Genomic DNA, 14,120 nt, shown 5'->3' on the forward strand with positions numbered 1-14,120 from the left:
CCTCAAAGATGTCTACATCCTAATCCCCAGATCTGTGAATATGTTAGGCTACATGGCACAGGTAGCAGACAGCATTAAGCTTGCAAACCAGCTATCCTTAAAATAGGGAGGGCCGGGCACGGTGGCTCACATCTGTAATCCCAGCACTTTGGGAGGCAAAGGCAGGCGGATCACGAGGTCAGGAGATTGAGACCATCCTGGCTAACACAGTGAAATCCCGTCTCTACTAAAAATACAAAAAATTAGCCGGGCATGGTGGCGGGCGCCTGTAGTCCCAGCTACTCGGGAGGCTGAGGCGGGAGAATAGTGTGAATCCGGGAGGCAGAGCTTGCAGTGAGCCAAGATCATACCACTGCACTCCAACCTGGGTGACAGAGAGAGACTCTGTCTCAAAAAAGAATAAATAAATAATAGGGAGATTATCTGGGATTATCCAGATGGGCCCAATATAACCACAAAGGTCCTTGAAAGAGGGAGCCAAGCAGAAGAGTCAGAGAAGGAGATGTGATGACAGAAGCCAGGTCAGCATGAGAGGATGTGAGAAGGCCTTGACCCGCCATTGCTGGCCTTGAAAATGGAGGAAAGGGCCAGGGGCTGAGGAATCCAGCAGTCTTTGGAAGCTGGAGAAGGCCAGGAAACAAATCTTTCCTCCAGCCTCCAGAAGGACCCAGATTTTAGCCCAGTGAGACCCATGTTAGGCTTCTGACCTGCAGAACTGCAAGAGAATAAATGTGTGTTGATCTAACCAACTAAATTTGGGGTAAAATTTGTTTCCGCACCACAAGAAAACTAACACAGCTGAGAGGATGGGAATAAGGGGTCTACAGGCATCTTTAGGAAGACACGGACATCACACTCAGAGAGCCTCTGATGGTGTCTGGTGAGGCTGCCAGGAGGACTGCAAGAGCGTGGCCTCGATGGGACCTACAATTCTCTATAATTCTGAATGGAGCCAACGAAGATGCCGGAAGCCATCAGAGCTAGGGATGGGGAGCCTCTAGCAGAATGTCTAGATACCAGTGTGGCCAGTGAGGGGCAGGGTGACCACCTAGGAGGTAACGGATATAAACTGAGCAAGGCCTCCAGATGGGCACCAACAAGCTCTCTGTGTTTCATTTTTATTTTATTTCATTGTTTCATTCTGTGAACCACAAGCTATTCTTGGTAATTTTTATGTCTTCCTAGAATCCTTTTGTGCTTATGATAACTAAAAGGAATATTGCCTCACTTGCATGCATTCCTTTTTTCTGCCTCTTTCCTAAACTGTTATCCTTCCACACTGCGACAGGTATATCTACAGCATATCTAATAACTCTCGTCTTTTACTCACAGTAAAAAGTAATGCTGGGAAATGAGAAGACTCGTGCTCAGCCAGTTCTTTTATATAAATTATATGCATTTATATAAACTCCTACTTGAGCAAGCACTTTACAACAATCTGAAATTTTTTTATTTAACAAATTAGGATCTCTTTTAGTACCTAGAAGACAAATTTTCACACTATTTGTTAATATGGACTTTGCCAGCTAAATCTAAGATGCAACATTTTAGAGATTTAAATGTCCTTTCTGTGTTATTTGCTAACTTTCAATCCTTATCAAATGGATATTTTATTGTGTGATCCATTGTTTTCCATACATTGACCAAATGTCCTAAAAGGCAGTGCTTGTAAGGAGCTTGTTAAAAGTCATCCTGAAGAAATTGTAAGTATAAATCTTAGGACCAACATATCCAGGCCGAGTTTCTTGTTTTGTTCAGGAATACTTGATTCTGCATATCTCAGCATAAATAGTTCCCTTTTATAAAAAAAAAAGTTTTGAATATTGAGAAATGTATGCAGTTACTAGAAGTAATGTTTACAAATAGTTCATAGTGATTTCAGAAAAGGCCAATGATGTTAAATAGGAAAAAATAACAGGATATAAAACTGAACAGAATGGGAGCTCTCAAAATGTATAAAATACAGTGGTGGGGGGAAGACTGGAAGGAAATAACACTAGTGCAATTCAGAGTGATTTTGTTCTGCCTCTTGACACTTTCCTGTACCTTCCACATTTTATATAATAAGCACACATTGCCCTTTTTCTTTTTTATATTTTTATATTAATACATGCTCATTGCAGCAATGCATTTCTTTTATAATCAGGGAAAAAAGTAAGAGCTAAAAATGAAAAGGTCAGTTTAGGTCCTCTCTCAAGGAATTCACTAGCTTAAAAAAATAATGTAGCTGAAAATATCAACGGCCTCAAGAGAAGCTGAGATGGATTCACAGTTGGGTCAAGGAACGGAAAGGGAATTACTGTTTACAGAACACCCACCGCAGGCCTTATGTAGATGATTTACACATGTCTCATCTCATTTAATCCTCACAATCCCATGAGGCAAATCCTATGATTATTCCCTTTGAACAGATCTGGAAACAGAAGCTCAGAGCAGAGCTCCAGGGTCACACCACGAGTGAAGACAAGCAAGATGGGAACTGAAACTCTTTAAGCTCCACCAGGCTCTTATCACTGCATGGCACTGCCTCTCAGACCAAAACAGCGACAGCACCACTCCACTGAGAGGTCACTGTGGGCTTGTCCAGTCAATGATGGAGATCAAGCCCCCATCTGCCTTTGCTCTCCATCCCTGACCACTCCGCTACTAAAAGTCTTTTTCTTTCCTACTCAACCTGTATCGACAACCCATGTCCTGCTGCAATGGATGTCCAGGCCCAGCAGTGAGATATAAGGCATTCATCAAGCAGGGATCAAGCCCAGTGATGGAAAAGCACCCCACAGAGTACATCCAAGGAAGGACATCCAGAGAGCTGAGCACCTGCAGCAGAGCCCCAGGCAAGGGAAAAGGAGGCTGCTGAGCACTGCTCTGCCCCTCACAGAGGCCTTCCAGGGCAGGCTCCTCCCATCCCTTGTAGGCATCCAAGGGCTATGCAAGGTCACAAGATAACAATGGATTTCAGTCCACCAGACTCATAAAATGAAAGTACATGCCAGCTTTCACCAGCACAAACTCTCTGGGCAGCAGGCAGCCCACCAACAATACCTGGCCAGTGTCTCTCTCCCTAGACAACTGTCAACCAAGAATCTAACTCCCTAGTTCCAGACATGCAGAAACACTCACTCTCACACCCCACAGAGACTGTGTCAGTCTGCCATCCTTGGAGCCTGACACATTTTTCCAGCTATACAAACAGAGAAACCAAGACCCAGAAAAGGCCCCTGGGTGGAACCTTTGTCCCCAGGACAAAGTTGCTTTGGGGCGCTTACAGGTTGAATCACCCATAGCTATGTTTTGTTTGGCTTGTACTGTGTTGTTTACATTATTTTATTAGTTGGCAATAGCTTTAAATCAAAATTTACATTAAGGTCCAGATTTGGGGCTCCTCTTAAAAAAATAAATCAGCACATCTACAACAGTAGGATTTTCACGCCCAATGGCAAAATCTGTTAAAGCTGTGTGACAGCTTCTCCTTTTAATGGAGATGACCTCTTCAGACCCTGTACTCCAGGTGCCACAGGAACCAGCTGCCCGGTTCATCCTTGTGTGTTACCTGCATGAGGTGGCAACCTTGTGCAAGAGCATCATGTTTAGTCCCTGGGGAACTGCTGATGGGAGCGGACGGGCATCATTCAGAGGCAAAATGAATGAGCTTGGATACTCAACACTGCAGAGGGGAGCCAACAGAGGTGTGTCACCAGACATGGAACACAGGCAGGGTCCCCACCACACTGTGAGCTCCTGGGTCCAGGAAATATGTGCTTCCAAACTGTGGCTTCAGCTCCCAAGCACAAAGAATGAATGTCAACAGAGATGGGGTTTGTGGAACCAGTGTCAAGGGAACAGGTGGCACTGTGAAAGTTGTAGCTTGTCACCCCAGGTCCCCACCCCATTTAGGGTTCCTTCCGCTAAGAAGGCCCTGCCCTCCCCTGGCTGGAGCCCACCCCAAGCACCTGCAAGGAGCTGTGATAAGGGCACACTGAAAAGAAGTCCAGAGGCAGGGGGTGTCTGGAGATAGAGACTGCTGGTGGGACACGACCAGACACCAAAGAAGGGCAGGAATTCCTCTTCCCTGTACCTCAACAGACATCTGACAATGGACATCTGTCACAGCTGGAAGCAGCAGCTCCCATAATAGGCAGTGTTAGCCTCACCCCCCCTAAAAGAAAACACTTGGGACTCCCGGTTTGTAAAACCACCTCAAGAAATCCTTGGACCTTCAGTCCCCAGAAGTAGTCCCCGGTCCCTGCCCCCAGAGCTGGCCCCTTTCCTTCCTCTGCTGCACCCAAGAATAGGAGACCCCCAGAATTCCTCCTTCCAACACAACGACCTCCCCAACACCAGCTCTGACCCCCCAGACCCAGGCCAGAGCCATCATCGAGGCATCCTGTCCTTGCAGGCACCGGGGAGACTAGCAACCCATGTGTACCAAAGCAGCAGGAGGACTCTCGGCTCAACGGGCTTGAGGAGAAAACACCAGCCAGGAGCTCTTAGCCAGCCCACCTCCCACTACACCCACTGCCCCCTCTACACTTCTCTACCAGTTCCTCCAGCAAGGAATCCCTGCATCCTGCGCCACTAACTTGCCCCAGCACTGAGGGGCGCTGGCCCCAGAGTCCCCATGGTTGCGGGGAGCAAGGCAGAGGGAAGGAGAAGGGACTTAAGCCGGGTAAGTGTCAGAGGCGGAGCCTTAGGCCTTAACCAGGAATCTGGAGGCTTGGAGAAGGAACCAGGGTTCCCGAGCTGAAAGGTTGAAGGGGAGGGACTAGCAGAGAGGAGGGAAAGCAGAGGGGGTTGCTGTCGTGAACGCCCTCGCCTCGCACCTGTGGCGCCTGCCGCGGGGCCCGACCGGAGGCAGTGGCTGTGGACAAGGGCGGCCCCGGCGTAGGCCAGGATTTCCCCGCAGCCGGACCGGCCCAGCTCCGCTCCTTTCCTGGGCGAACAGCGCCCACCTCCGGCCCAGGCGGCGGCGCCTCCGCCCGCGGCGCGGACAGCGAGAGAGAAACCGGCTCCTCCAAACCTGGTGGAGGAGCGCTGCAGAGAAGCGCCGGGCTGAGGCTCTGGGGGCCGCGGGGCGCGAAACGCCGCGCCTACCAGGTTATGCCCGGGAGAAGGAGACAGGTCGGGCTCCAGCCGCTGGGCGCTCCTCACCTCGAAGCGAGGAAAACACCGGGCCACTGAGATCAGGGGAGGTGCGCCCGATACAGGTACCCGGCACGCAGACACGCCCACCCCCAAACACCGAGAAACAAAGACTGCCCCGAGCCACGCACGCCTGCGCGGCCAGCGCTGGGCGCACACCCGCGCCCACACAGCCCGAAGGGCGCCACGCAACCCGCAAGAACACCAGCTCCCCGCGCTCGCAGGCTCTCCGTGCCGGCCCGCAGCGCAGAGCAGTCCCGGCGCCGCTGCCTAGGTGGGCCGGGGAAGGCGCGCCACCGCGCATGGCACCGCGGCTGCCGAGGAACAGAGGGTGCCCTGCGCAGCCCAGCTCGTCCCAACCCCTCCGGTGCCCACTGCTGCGACGCCTCGCAGGCCGTGTCCCAGTGGGCCCTGGGCACAGCGGTCACTCACCTTCCTGCACAGCCTGGAATGGGTTGTTGGCCTCGATGACCTTGATGGAGTAGGTGATCTTCTCGCTCTGCAGGATGTCATCGTTGAGGCTCAGGTCGGATACCGCCAACTGGAACACCCTGTCGTCCTTGGCCGCGTTCTCCTCGAAGATGGCACCTGGAGGAGAGAAGGGATCAAGACCGGACCTGGACAAGAACCCTCTCCCCGCTTCCCTTGGCCCGAGGGTCAAGGCACTCGCAGACCGATGATTGCCGGGTGGTGGGAAGTCTGAACTGGGATTTCAGCTTGGCGGGGTAGATTAAGGCTCTCCGATCTCCACCTGCACAGGAATATGTTCCCCTCCCCCCACCAGCCCTCAGCGCACACGTGCACACAGTTGACATGAGTTACACATGCACATCCCACAGGCTGCCACCAGGTCACACACGTGTCTCACAACCAAGGCACCACATGTCCTAGCCATGCTCCACACAAGGGACTAAGCCAAGCTGGGGTGGCCCCAGGCAGCGCCCAAATGCCTTGACATGGTTCCATAAATCCCATCCCAGGAGCCAGGAAGTTCCCCGGGAGGGTGGTGTCCCCCACCCAAATCCCAGGACAGAATGATGGGTCCTTCTCCATGCACGTCCCCTGCTGAGTGGAGCTGAGCGAAGCAGGTCTACAGTTGGCTTTCCTGCGCAGAGGGGTCTTCCTTAGGCAGGGGCTTCGGATGGCCTGCAGCTTGGATGACTGTGACGCTGCCCGGCCTGGCGCCCTGAGCTCAGCCTCCTACTCTCCATCCTTCCCCACTCCCATTTCCTGTACGTCTGTCGAGGGGAGTGGGGGAAGGGGACTTGTGTCCTAGGCGCCTCCACGTTCAGATCTAGCGGAGCTGGGGGTCCCAGAAGGAGCTGCTCTTGAAGGGCTTTCTAGAACCGCGGACAGCTCCTCCAGGGCGCCCTCCGGCTGGCGCTTTGTGCGCCTAGCACAGCTTCCACGGACCCTGCGCTTCCAGCCGAGATCAGTGCGACCAGCCCGAGCCTAGTCCTGCAACCTGGACAGCTCTGGAGTCAGCCACCCACATCCCGCCTCACCAAGCCTCGAGGGTCCCTGAGGTCCCGGAGCTAGGCCCAGTGATCCCTCGAGCTGGGGGCTGGGTAGGAGGAGGGAGGCCCGGATTCCTCACTACACCCGGAGCCGGCGCCGCAATGCTGACCGCGAGACCCGCACCCCTCCAGGGCGGGAAGCAGGTTTGGTCACGGGCCCCTGAGGAGGAATCGTAGCTCTCCGAGCCCAGGCCTAGTCCTCACCACCCCACTCCACCACCCACCCTCCCGCCTTGTCCCGTCCTCCTCGCCTTCAACACCTCCCAACCCCCAGTTTCCCTGTGCTCGCTGGTCTTTCCCAACTTCCGGAAAGACGACTGCGGAGGGACTCCCCCAAAGCGACCGCTGTCAGCCCCCCAACTCGGCCCAACTTCCCGAGATTCCTCCCGTGTTGCTCCCAACTCCCACCCACTCCCCCTCGGCGCGCCCACTCCCCCTCGGCGCGCCCCCTCCTCCTCTGCGCTTTCATCTTCTCTCCCGGTTCTCTCTCTCTATCCATCTCTTCCCGCTCAGCATCCCCCTACCCCCCGCTGCCCACGCTTCTTCCCTCGGCTCCCACCACCCAGACCGTCTGGGCCCCCAAGACTTGGACCACGCAAAACTCTAGGACTGTCCAGGATGGGGATGCAGTCGCCACAACCAGATACACACGCACTCACACATACACCAAGGGCTACACAGACACACACCGGAGAAGCAGGCAGACACTGTGTCCACTCTAACAGGCTGACAGACAGTCGTGCACGCACCAACACACGCTCAGATGGCCCCACACACCCCAACACCCTCTCACAGTAACACCGACACCGTGCCAGGCGCACACAGCGACACACGCTGACAACACGCACCCACACACATTCACACACGGTTCCGGTCCGGCCTCTTTGATCTTGCCCTGCCAACTTGGCGAGCCCCCCGCTGTACCTCCCCCTGCCCCCCGCTGCTCTGAGCTGCGCAGAAGGGCCCTCCCGACCCGCCGACGGCCCCGCTAAGGGCGCGGGTCTCGACGCGCGTCCATCCCGGTGTTCCCCGAAGCGTCGGCCCTAAGTGTCGGTAGAGGCCGCGGGGCCCCGCGCGGAGATCGGAGCCCCGGGGAGCGGCAAGCAGCCAGCGGGAGCGCGGCGCGGCCGGTGCACAGCTCCTCCGCCGGGCGGCGCGGCGCGGCCCTTCGGGGGAGCACCGCCCGCCGAGCCCCTCGGCCCAGGGAAACGCCAAGTTTGGACGCCGCGCACCCCCTGCCCCGTTGGGGCCCCCGCCCAGCCTCGGCCCGGCCTCCAGCCGCGCTTACCGATGTGGATGATGGAGTCGGCCCGCACCGACACGCACTGGCATATCCAGGGGAGAAGCCACAGCGTCAGCGCTTCCATGTCCCCCGGGCGCGCGGCTCATCCACCCGGGCCCGGGGCGAGGCCGAGGGCAGCGCGAAGCGGGGAGGCGCTGGTCCCGGTGCAGTCCCGGGCCGCTCCCCGGGAGAGCCGAGCCCGCCCGTGCGTCTTCCCCCGCGCGCCCGCCCCTGCGCCCTGCGCCCGCCCCAGCCCAGCCCAGCCCAGCCCAGCGCGGTCGGGCTCCCGCTCCGGCTCCGGTGGCGGCTGCGGCGGTGCTGGCAGCTTGAGCCCAGGCCGGCGCGGCGGGGGCGGCCCGCGGCTGTGGCAGCGGCGCTTCCCGCGGCTAGAGCGGCTTCGGGGGAGGCTGAGGCGGTGGCGGCGGCGGCCGGGCCGGCGTGGCGGCTCTGGGCTGGCTGTGTGTCTGAGCCCCGGCGAGGAGCGAACTGCGGAGGACGCCCCCTCCCCTCCCCCTCCCCCTCAGCTCCGCTCCCCCTCCCCTCCCTGCCCGCCTCCCTCCCCTCCGCCCGCCTCTCTACCACGTGACTGCGGAGCCTCAGCCTCGCCGCGCGGCTCTCGCCCGCTCGCGGCTCGGAGGGGGCGCCGGGTGCTCCACGCTCCCGGCTCGGGGGACGCTCGGAGACCGGCACAGCGGCGGGGACCGGCCTGGGCTGCGGCGCGCCGAGCTCTGACGGTTCGGGCCTCCTTCTCCGGTTCGCCAGGGGCGGGAGAATGGAGGAGGGCCGGCCGCTAACTGCCCTCGAGGGGCTCCCGAAGCGCCCTGGCGACCTCAGCAGCCGCGCGTCTCGGGTCATGTCCCCGGCCGAAACAGACCGTTCCTCGTGGAGTGGGACCTGGGGAGCAAGAAGAGAGACCGGGGCGGGGCGCCGGGCCAGGCCCCAGGACAGCTGGGGAGCCAGAGGGGGCCGGCCGCCGCAAGCATCTCAGAGTAGAGCCCGGGCCGTGGGCTCGAACCCTGGCTGGCCGCGCGGACCTCGGCGGGCGCCCATCCCCCGCTCCATGGGCAGCGCGCTCAGCCGGGAGTCGGGCAAGAGGCTCGGACTCTGAAGCCCAATTCATGGCCGGAAACCAGCGCAGCCGTGACCGCGGCGCCTGGACGTGAGGAGCCTTCCAAGCGGCCGGCGGGCTCAGACTCCGACCCTGCACGGAGCTTTCATGTGCGAGCCCGGGCGAAGAGCCCGCTCCTCGCGGCCACAGCGGAACAGGGCTCCCTCCGCCTCCGGTGCCTGCCTCGGGCCGGCCACCACCAAAGAGAGCGTTAAGCTGTTGTGGGCTCGTGCCTGAAAGGGACTGGGCTCCATGTGGCACCCCCAAGATTTCGAGGAGACAGCTGAGCTTCCTGGGGTCTGGGACCTGGCAGAGCCTCGTTCAAAAGCTGCTCCTCCAGCAAGCCTGGGAACGTCCCCGGGCCCTGTTGTCCGCGGAGGGGCCCCAGGACTCCCGCCACGCACCAGGGGGAGAGGCTCCCACCACAGCCCTTGCCCAGAGCTCCCAGCGCAGTGGGCGAGGCAGACACCCAACCAAGTCATCTTTTAAATGTTGGGGGGGGCTATGAATGAGCTGTGTATGCTCAGATGCCTGGGCTCTGAACCAGCCTGGGAAGAAGAGCAGGGATGACTTCCTGGAGGAGATGACAGTTGTAAAGACTGAGTGGAGGTTCCCAAGGGAGAAAATAAGGCTTCCAGGCATTGAATAGTGGTGAGCCAAGGCAAAAAGAAAGAAGTGTGTGTCTGTATGTCTGTCTGTCTCTCATGTGGCCAGAGCCAAAGAGTAAGCATTGGTAGATTTCACTTTGGAAAGAAAGATTGGAGAGGATGGGCTGTGCAGAGGGGGCCAGTGGAGGCCCATAGCACTGTGAGGGAACCCTGGGTGGGCCAGCTCAGCTGGGCAGGGACAGCCTGTTGGAGCGGAGAAGCTGGATTGCAGAAGTATCAAGGAATCCCATGAGCCAGCAAGGTGACTTCTAGGTTAAGGAGGCCAGGGGGCAAGAAGAGAGGAGTGGTCATATGTCATACTTGCCCATGGGAGTGGCTGAATGTGGTCCTACACACACACACACACACACACACACACACACACACACTTCTTCCAAAAACCTGTCTTAGGGTCCTTGAGTAGTGAAACCTGACCCACCCCGCATCTCAAAACCCTCTACACCTCTAATTCTTATTCCTGCAAAATTCTACCATTCACTGGCTGAAATGCTGTAGGGAGAAGAGAAATAAATGATGAGTTTTATTATACATCAGTTTGGTTCCTACGGGGACTGTCTCCACCTTGAAAGGATGGTGGGTGTGGTCTTGACCTGAAGTCCCTGTGGGTCAGGGACTCTCCCCGGGCCTCCTGTTGTTGGGGGTTCTCCAGTGTGTTAGTACAGTGGGCATGTGATATACCCAGTTAGAAGTTTTTCTTTGATGTATGTTTTGCTAGGTGTAGGTAGCATGATTTCAGTGGGATAAGTATTAAGACCTCCTTCCAAGTATTAAGAAGACAACCCACCAACACATAGTTGTGGAATGATTTCCATCAAGTTCCAGTTTGGATGATGAGGTGGGTGATGAGGTTCCTGTGGCTTGGCATCTGAGGATCATGACTCAAGGTGGATCTCATCTGGAAGTTGTTGACCTGGGGCAACCTCACCTTCTGTCCTGGGTGCCTCCTTCCTCTCCAGCTTCCAGGGCGTGTGGTAGTCTGCCATCCCCATATGCTCATTCCCAGATCCTCACCCTGGGACAGTCCACTCAGCCAAGCCAGTTTTCCTATCCAGGCTAGAATCCCCTGGACACTGTAGGCAGCGTGGTGACTGTAGGCACTTGCTCAGCTCCTGTTCCTCACAGAGCTGGAAGGCAGGCCCAGAGACCACTGGGGACCTGTACAGACTCACCTTGAGGCAAAATGTGTTTAATCCTCTGCCACCTAAAGTTGGAGTTGCCAGGTTCCAGGGGCATTGGATGTTATTGGTCAGTTGCTCAGACTCATCAAGCCCTTAACAGTTTATTGCTCCTGGCCCAGCTATTCTTGGCCCAACACCCTTATCCCTGATAGCCTCTGGGGCTGCAAATGCTGCCTCTCCAAACCAGGGGAAGCAACTCTACCCAATGAACAAGTTCACCCCTAATGCAAGAATCTAGCTGGAGAAGATAGATTAGAAATCTCTGGGTCATATGACACACATCCACTTCAGAGAGAGAAAAACTGAGGCCCAGAGAAAGGCATCAGGTGAGTTGCTGGCAGGCCCAAGGCTCAGTCCTCTTGGTTTGCTCCTCACTACACAAAGGTGTATTCACAGAAATTAAAACTGAGTCAGTAAATCTTTCTTTTACACAAGCTCAGCCAGCACAGGTGACTGCTTTTTCTAAAGAGTTCTTCAGTTTTACTGATTCTAATTACTTTTCTTTAGCACTTACCACATGCAGGCACTGTGCTCACCACCTGACATCTTACCGAGGAGATGGTCATCCCATTTTACACACAAGGAAATTGAAGGAGGGTGCAAAAAGATAAAACTGGGCTCATCAGGAATCTCAACTGAAACAACACTGGACGCTAGTAGTTGGCCACAGAAGCTGTAGATGAAATGTCAAGGCAGAGAGAGGCCTCAGTGGTCTACTTGGAAGCTACAATCATTGTGACTTAAAGCTTTGTCATTCCAGAAATGCAGACCTTTCCTTTCTCCATTGCCTTCTTTCTCACCCCATCCAAAAGCTGGACTAAGGAAAAGCCAGCTGGAGTCCTGGCCCTCCAAGTGACCTGCCTCCTGGGCACAATCCTGAGGAGCTGCCTGCCTGATGTGGAACCACCAGTGCCCAACCCCTGCAGAAGTGCCCCTCCTGAACCATGCGTCTCCAGGGAGGGCCCAAAAACTCTATCTTCCTCATTCCCTCCTCAGCACAGAGCCCACCAGTGATATGGAAGACAATTCGGCCCAGGCCCTGCCTGCAAAGAAAGATCAAGTCCAAGCCTGGGGAATTCTCTGCAGGCTTTGGCATGGAACCCAGCTGTCCCGTGTACACAGGGTGGAGGCCAACCCAGGTCTTAAGGTCAAGCCCCCAGGGAAGAGTCTGTAGGCATCTGGGAAGGGGTCTTGCTGCCAGCCTCATCCGTCACTACAGGCTCCAGGGAACCCACTTTCTGCCAAGATCCAAGCTCAGAAAATCTCACTGCTGCCTTCCTCTCTTAACCCATTGGGTTTTTCCTGTTTTCAATTTTTTCTTGGAGACAGGGTCTTGTTCTGTCACCCAAGCCGGAGGACACTGATGTGATCATGGCTCACTGTAGCCTAGACCTCCTGGGCTCAAGCAATCCTCCCACCTCAGCCTCCTGAGTAGCTGAGACCACAGGCACATGGTACCATGCCCAGATAATTTTCTTCATTTTTTGTAGAGATGGGGTTTCACCATGTTTCCCAGGCTGTCTTGAACTCCTGGACTCAAGCAATCCTCCTGCCTCGCCTCCCAAAGTGCTGAGATTACAGGTGTGAGCCACCACGCCAGATTTGTTTTTTGGTTTTTTTTTAAAACACCCTTGTTTATTGCTTATTTCGTCTGTTCTCCCAGCGCTGTGTTGGCTCTTCAGTTGAATGTGAATTCTCTGTCTCTACTTTGTCTTCCTTACTACCCTTTCTTGCCAACCTCTTTCATCTTATTTTTACTGTTTCTCAGCTTGTATTTATTTTATGTGATGTTCTTTTATATTACTGTATTTTTTAGTTTACTTTTACTCTTGGTAGCCTCGTGGGTTGTTACTTTAAATTTCCCAGGCCAGCAATCTTTTGCATTGCTCATTCTATTAATTCGAGACTTCTATTGATTCATTCCTTGGTTTTCCCGAGGTTAGGGAGAAGGAAAATTCCAGCACCAGCTTGCCTCAGCCACCAGGGCAAGACCCACTGTTATGCCCCTTTGCACCCTTCCCGTGGCATGGTGCAGACACCCATGGTGGGCAGCCCAGGTGAGGGAGGGCTTCTGCGGGCCGGAGCCGTGCCCCATGGGCCAATGAGGAGAAAGGAAATTACACACCGTGTGTCCACCCTAGATAGGAATGCCTCATCTTTCCAGGGCAAGGACCTCTTTACCCCCATTATACAGTCAGGAAACTGGGACTCAGGACTGGGTCTTCAGTCTGCTTAGAATCAACTAGTCCAAAAAGTTACCTGTGTGAAAAACTGCTTCCTTTGCAAAAGCAAGGACCTCCAGAGGTCTCTTTCCTGGACCCAGGCTCTCCAGGCAGGATGGGTGGCAGGACTGAACAGAAGCTCAGGCTCATCTGGGGCTCTCATGCTAACATCCAGGATTCCCCTTGACCCCCTGGAGTCCAACAAGGTTCATTCCTTCCTTAGAACCCTGCAAAGGTCAGATAAGGCAAGCTGGAGTGTGCACAAAGGCATCTCCAAACGCCAAGGGAGAGCAAAGGAGAAGGAAGGCTCAGATCCCAGGAATGACCCCCAGGAGCTGTCATCTCAGTCCCAGGCCTCTGGGGGCAGCCTGTGTCTCACCTCCTGCTAAAGCAGAGATTCTCCAAGTGTGTGCCCCAAAGCCTGGATCTAAGAGGCTCTTCAGAGGAAGCTCGGGGCTTCTGAGGACCCCACTCCACGTCCATAGCCAGCCTTGCACATGGGCGTTCTGAGTCCACCGTTGTGTGGAGAATGGGCTTCTGCTGCTGCAGCTCACACATGTAAAACCACAGCCCTGAAAAGCCTGTCCCAGAGCCCACAGGCTGGCCCAGGCCCTCCCAGGAGACCTGCTGGGCTCCCTGCTTCCCAGCCCCAACGCCTGCCTGGGGTGGCTCTTCTCCTCTCTCTCCAACCTGGGCTCTGCAACTTTGCTGTTTTTGCACTTTGGGGACCACCCTATTCCGCAGGTGACTGGAAGGACTAAGTGGCAGGGTCCTGAATCCTGGCCTCTCTGACCCCAGGGCTGAACTCAGGCTCCTGTACCCTCAACAGTCACTGCCTGACTGTCCCAGAACATGAAGTGCCACAGAGGCTCCTGCCCCTCCCACCACTGCCCAGGGCTCCTCCTGCCCCTGTCGTCTCCTGCTTTGGGTTCCAGGGCTCCACACAGGTTTAGCTGAGACCTTGAGCTGAGTTAAGGAAGGGAGTGTACATTGCAGGTGAAGG

General features: G+C 55.8%; 1 protein-coding gene across 1 annotated transcript in view, besides 8 other annotated features; it reads right to left on the minus strand.

The window, feature by feature from the left end:
• GRID1 (glutamate ionotropic receptor delta type subunit 1) overlaps positions 1–8,429 on the minus strand; it is a 767,244-nt gene extending 758,815 nt beyond the window's left edge. Inside the window, exons 1-2 of the mRNA NM_017551.3 lie at positions 7,948–8,429; positions 5,575–5,730 (exon numbers count right to left, since the gene is read on the minus strand). Of these exons, the coding sequence (NP_060021.1) occupies positions 5,575–5,730; positions 7,948–8,026 (235 nt within the window). The 5' untranslated portion in view covers positions 8,027–8,429. The remainder of the gene's footprint in view (positions 1–5,574; positions 5,731–7,947) is intronic.
• Positions 4,510–5,023: an enhancer, noted in NCBI's record as "H3K27ac-H3K4me1 hESC enhancer chr10:88122633-88123146 (GRCh37/hg19 assembly coordinates)". NCBI's record gives its function as "activates a minimal SCP1, AML or CMV promoter by ChIP-STARR-seq in naive H9 embryonic stem cells {active_cell/tissue: H9 hESC(naive)}" and the evidence as "EXISTENCE:reporter gene assay evidence [ECO:0000049][PMID:30033119]".
• Positions 4,834–4,953: a silencer, noted in NCBI's record as "silent region_2555". NCBI's record gives its function as "represses an Ori minimal core promoter by ATAC-STARR-seq in GM12878 lymphoblastoid cells {active_cell/tissue: GM12878}" and the evidence as "EXISTENCE:reporter gene assay evidence [ECO:0000049][PMID:35858748]".
• Positions 5,024–5,537: an enhancer, noted in NCBI's record as "H3K27ac-H3K4me1 hESC enhancer chr10:88123147-88123660 (GRCh37/hg19 assembly coordinates)". NCBI's record gives its function as "activates a minimal SCP1, AML or CMV promoter by ChIP-STARR-seq in naive H9 embryonic stem cells {active_cell/tissue: H9 hESC(naive)}" and the evidence as "EXISTENCE:reporter gene assay evidence [ECO:0000049][PMID:30033119]".
• Positions 7,738–7,887: a silencer, noted in NCBI's record as "silent region_2556". NCBI's record gives its function as "represses an Ori minimal core promoter by ATAC-STARR-seq in GM12878 lymphoblastoid cells {active_cell/tissue: GM12878}" and the evidence as "EXISTENCE:reporter gene assay evidence [ECO:0000049][PMID:35858748]".
• Positions 7,918–8,117: a silencer, noted in NCBI's record as "silent region_2557". NCBI's record gives its function as "represses an Ori minimal core promoter by ATAC-STARR-seq in GM12878 lymphoblastoid cells {active_cell/tissue: GM12878}" and the evidence as "EXISTENCE:reporter gene assay evidence [ECO:0000049][PMID:35858748]".
• Positions 8,348–8,397: a silencer, noted in NCBI's record as "silent region_2558". NCBI's record gives its function as "represses an Ori minimal core promoter by ATAC-STARR-seq in GM12878 lymphoblastoid cells {active_cell/tissue: GM12878}" and the evidence as "EXISTENCE:reporter gene assay evidence [ECO:0000049][PMID:35858748]".
• Positions 8,418–8,807: a silencer, noted in NCBI's record as "silent region_2559". NCBI's record gives its function as "represses an Ori minimal core promoter by ATAC-STARR-seq in GM12878 lymphoblastoid cells {active_cell/tissue: GM12878}" and the evidence as "EXISTENCE:reporter gene assay evidence [ECO:0000049][PMID:35858748]".
• Positions 8,918–9,127: a silencer, noted in NCBI's record as "silent region_2560". NCBI's record gives its function as "represses an Ori minimal core promoter by ATAC-STARR-seq in GM12878 lymphoblastoid cells {active_cell/tissue: GM12878}" and the evidence as "EXISTENCE:reporter gene assay evidence [ECO:0000049][PMID:35858748]".

The sequence above is a fragment of the Homo sapiens genome, chromosome 10 (assembly GCF_000001405.40).
Source record: "Homo sapiens chromosome 10, GRCh38.p14 Primary Assembly".
NCBI lineage: Eukaryota > Metazoa > Chordata > Mammalia > Primates > Hominidae > Homo > Homo sapiens.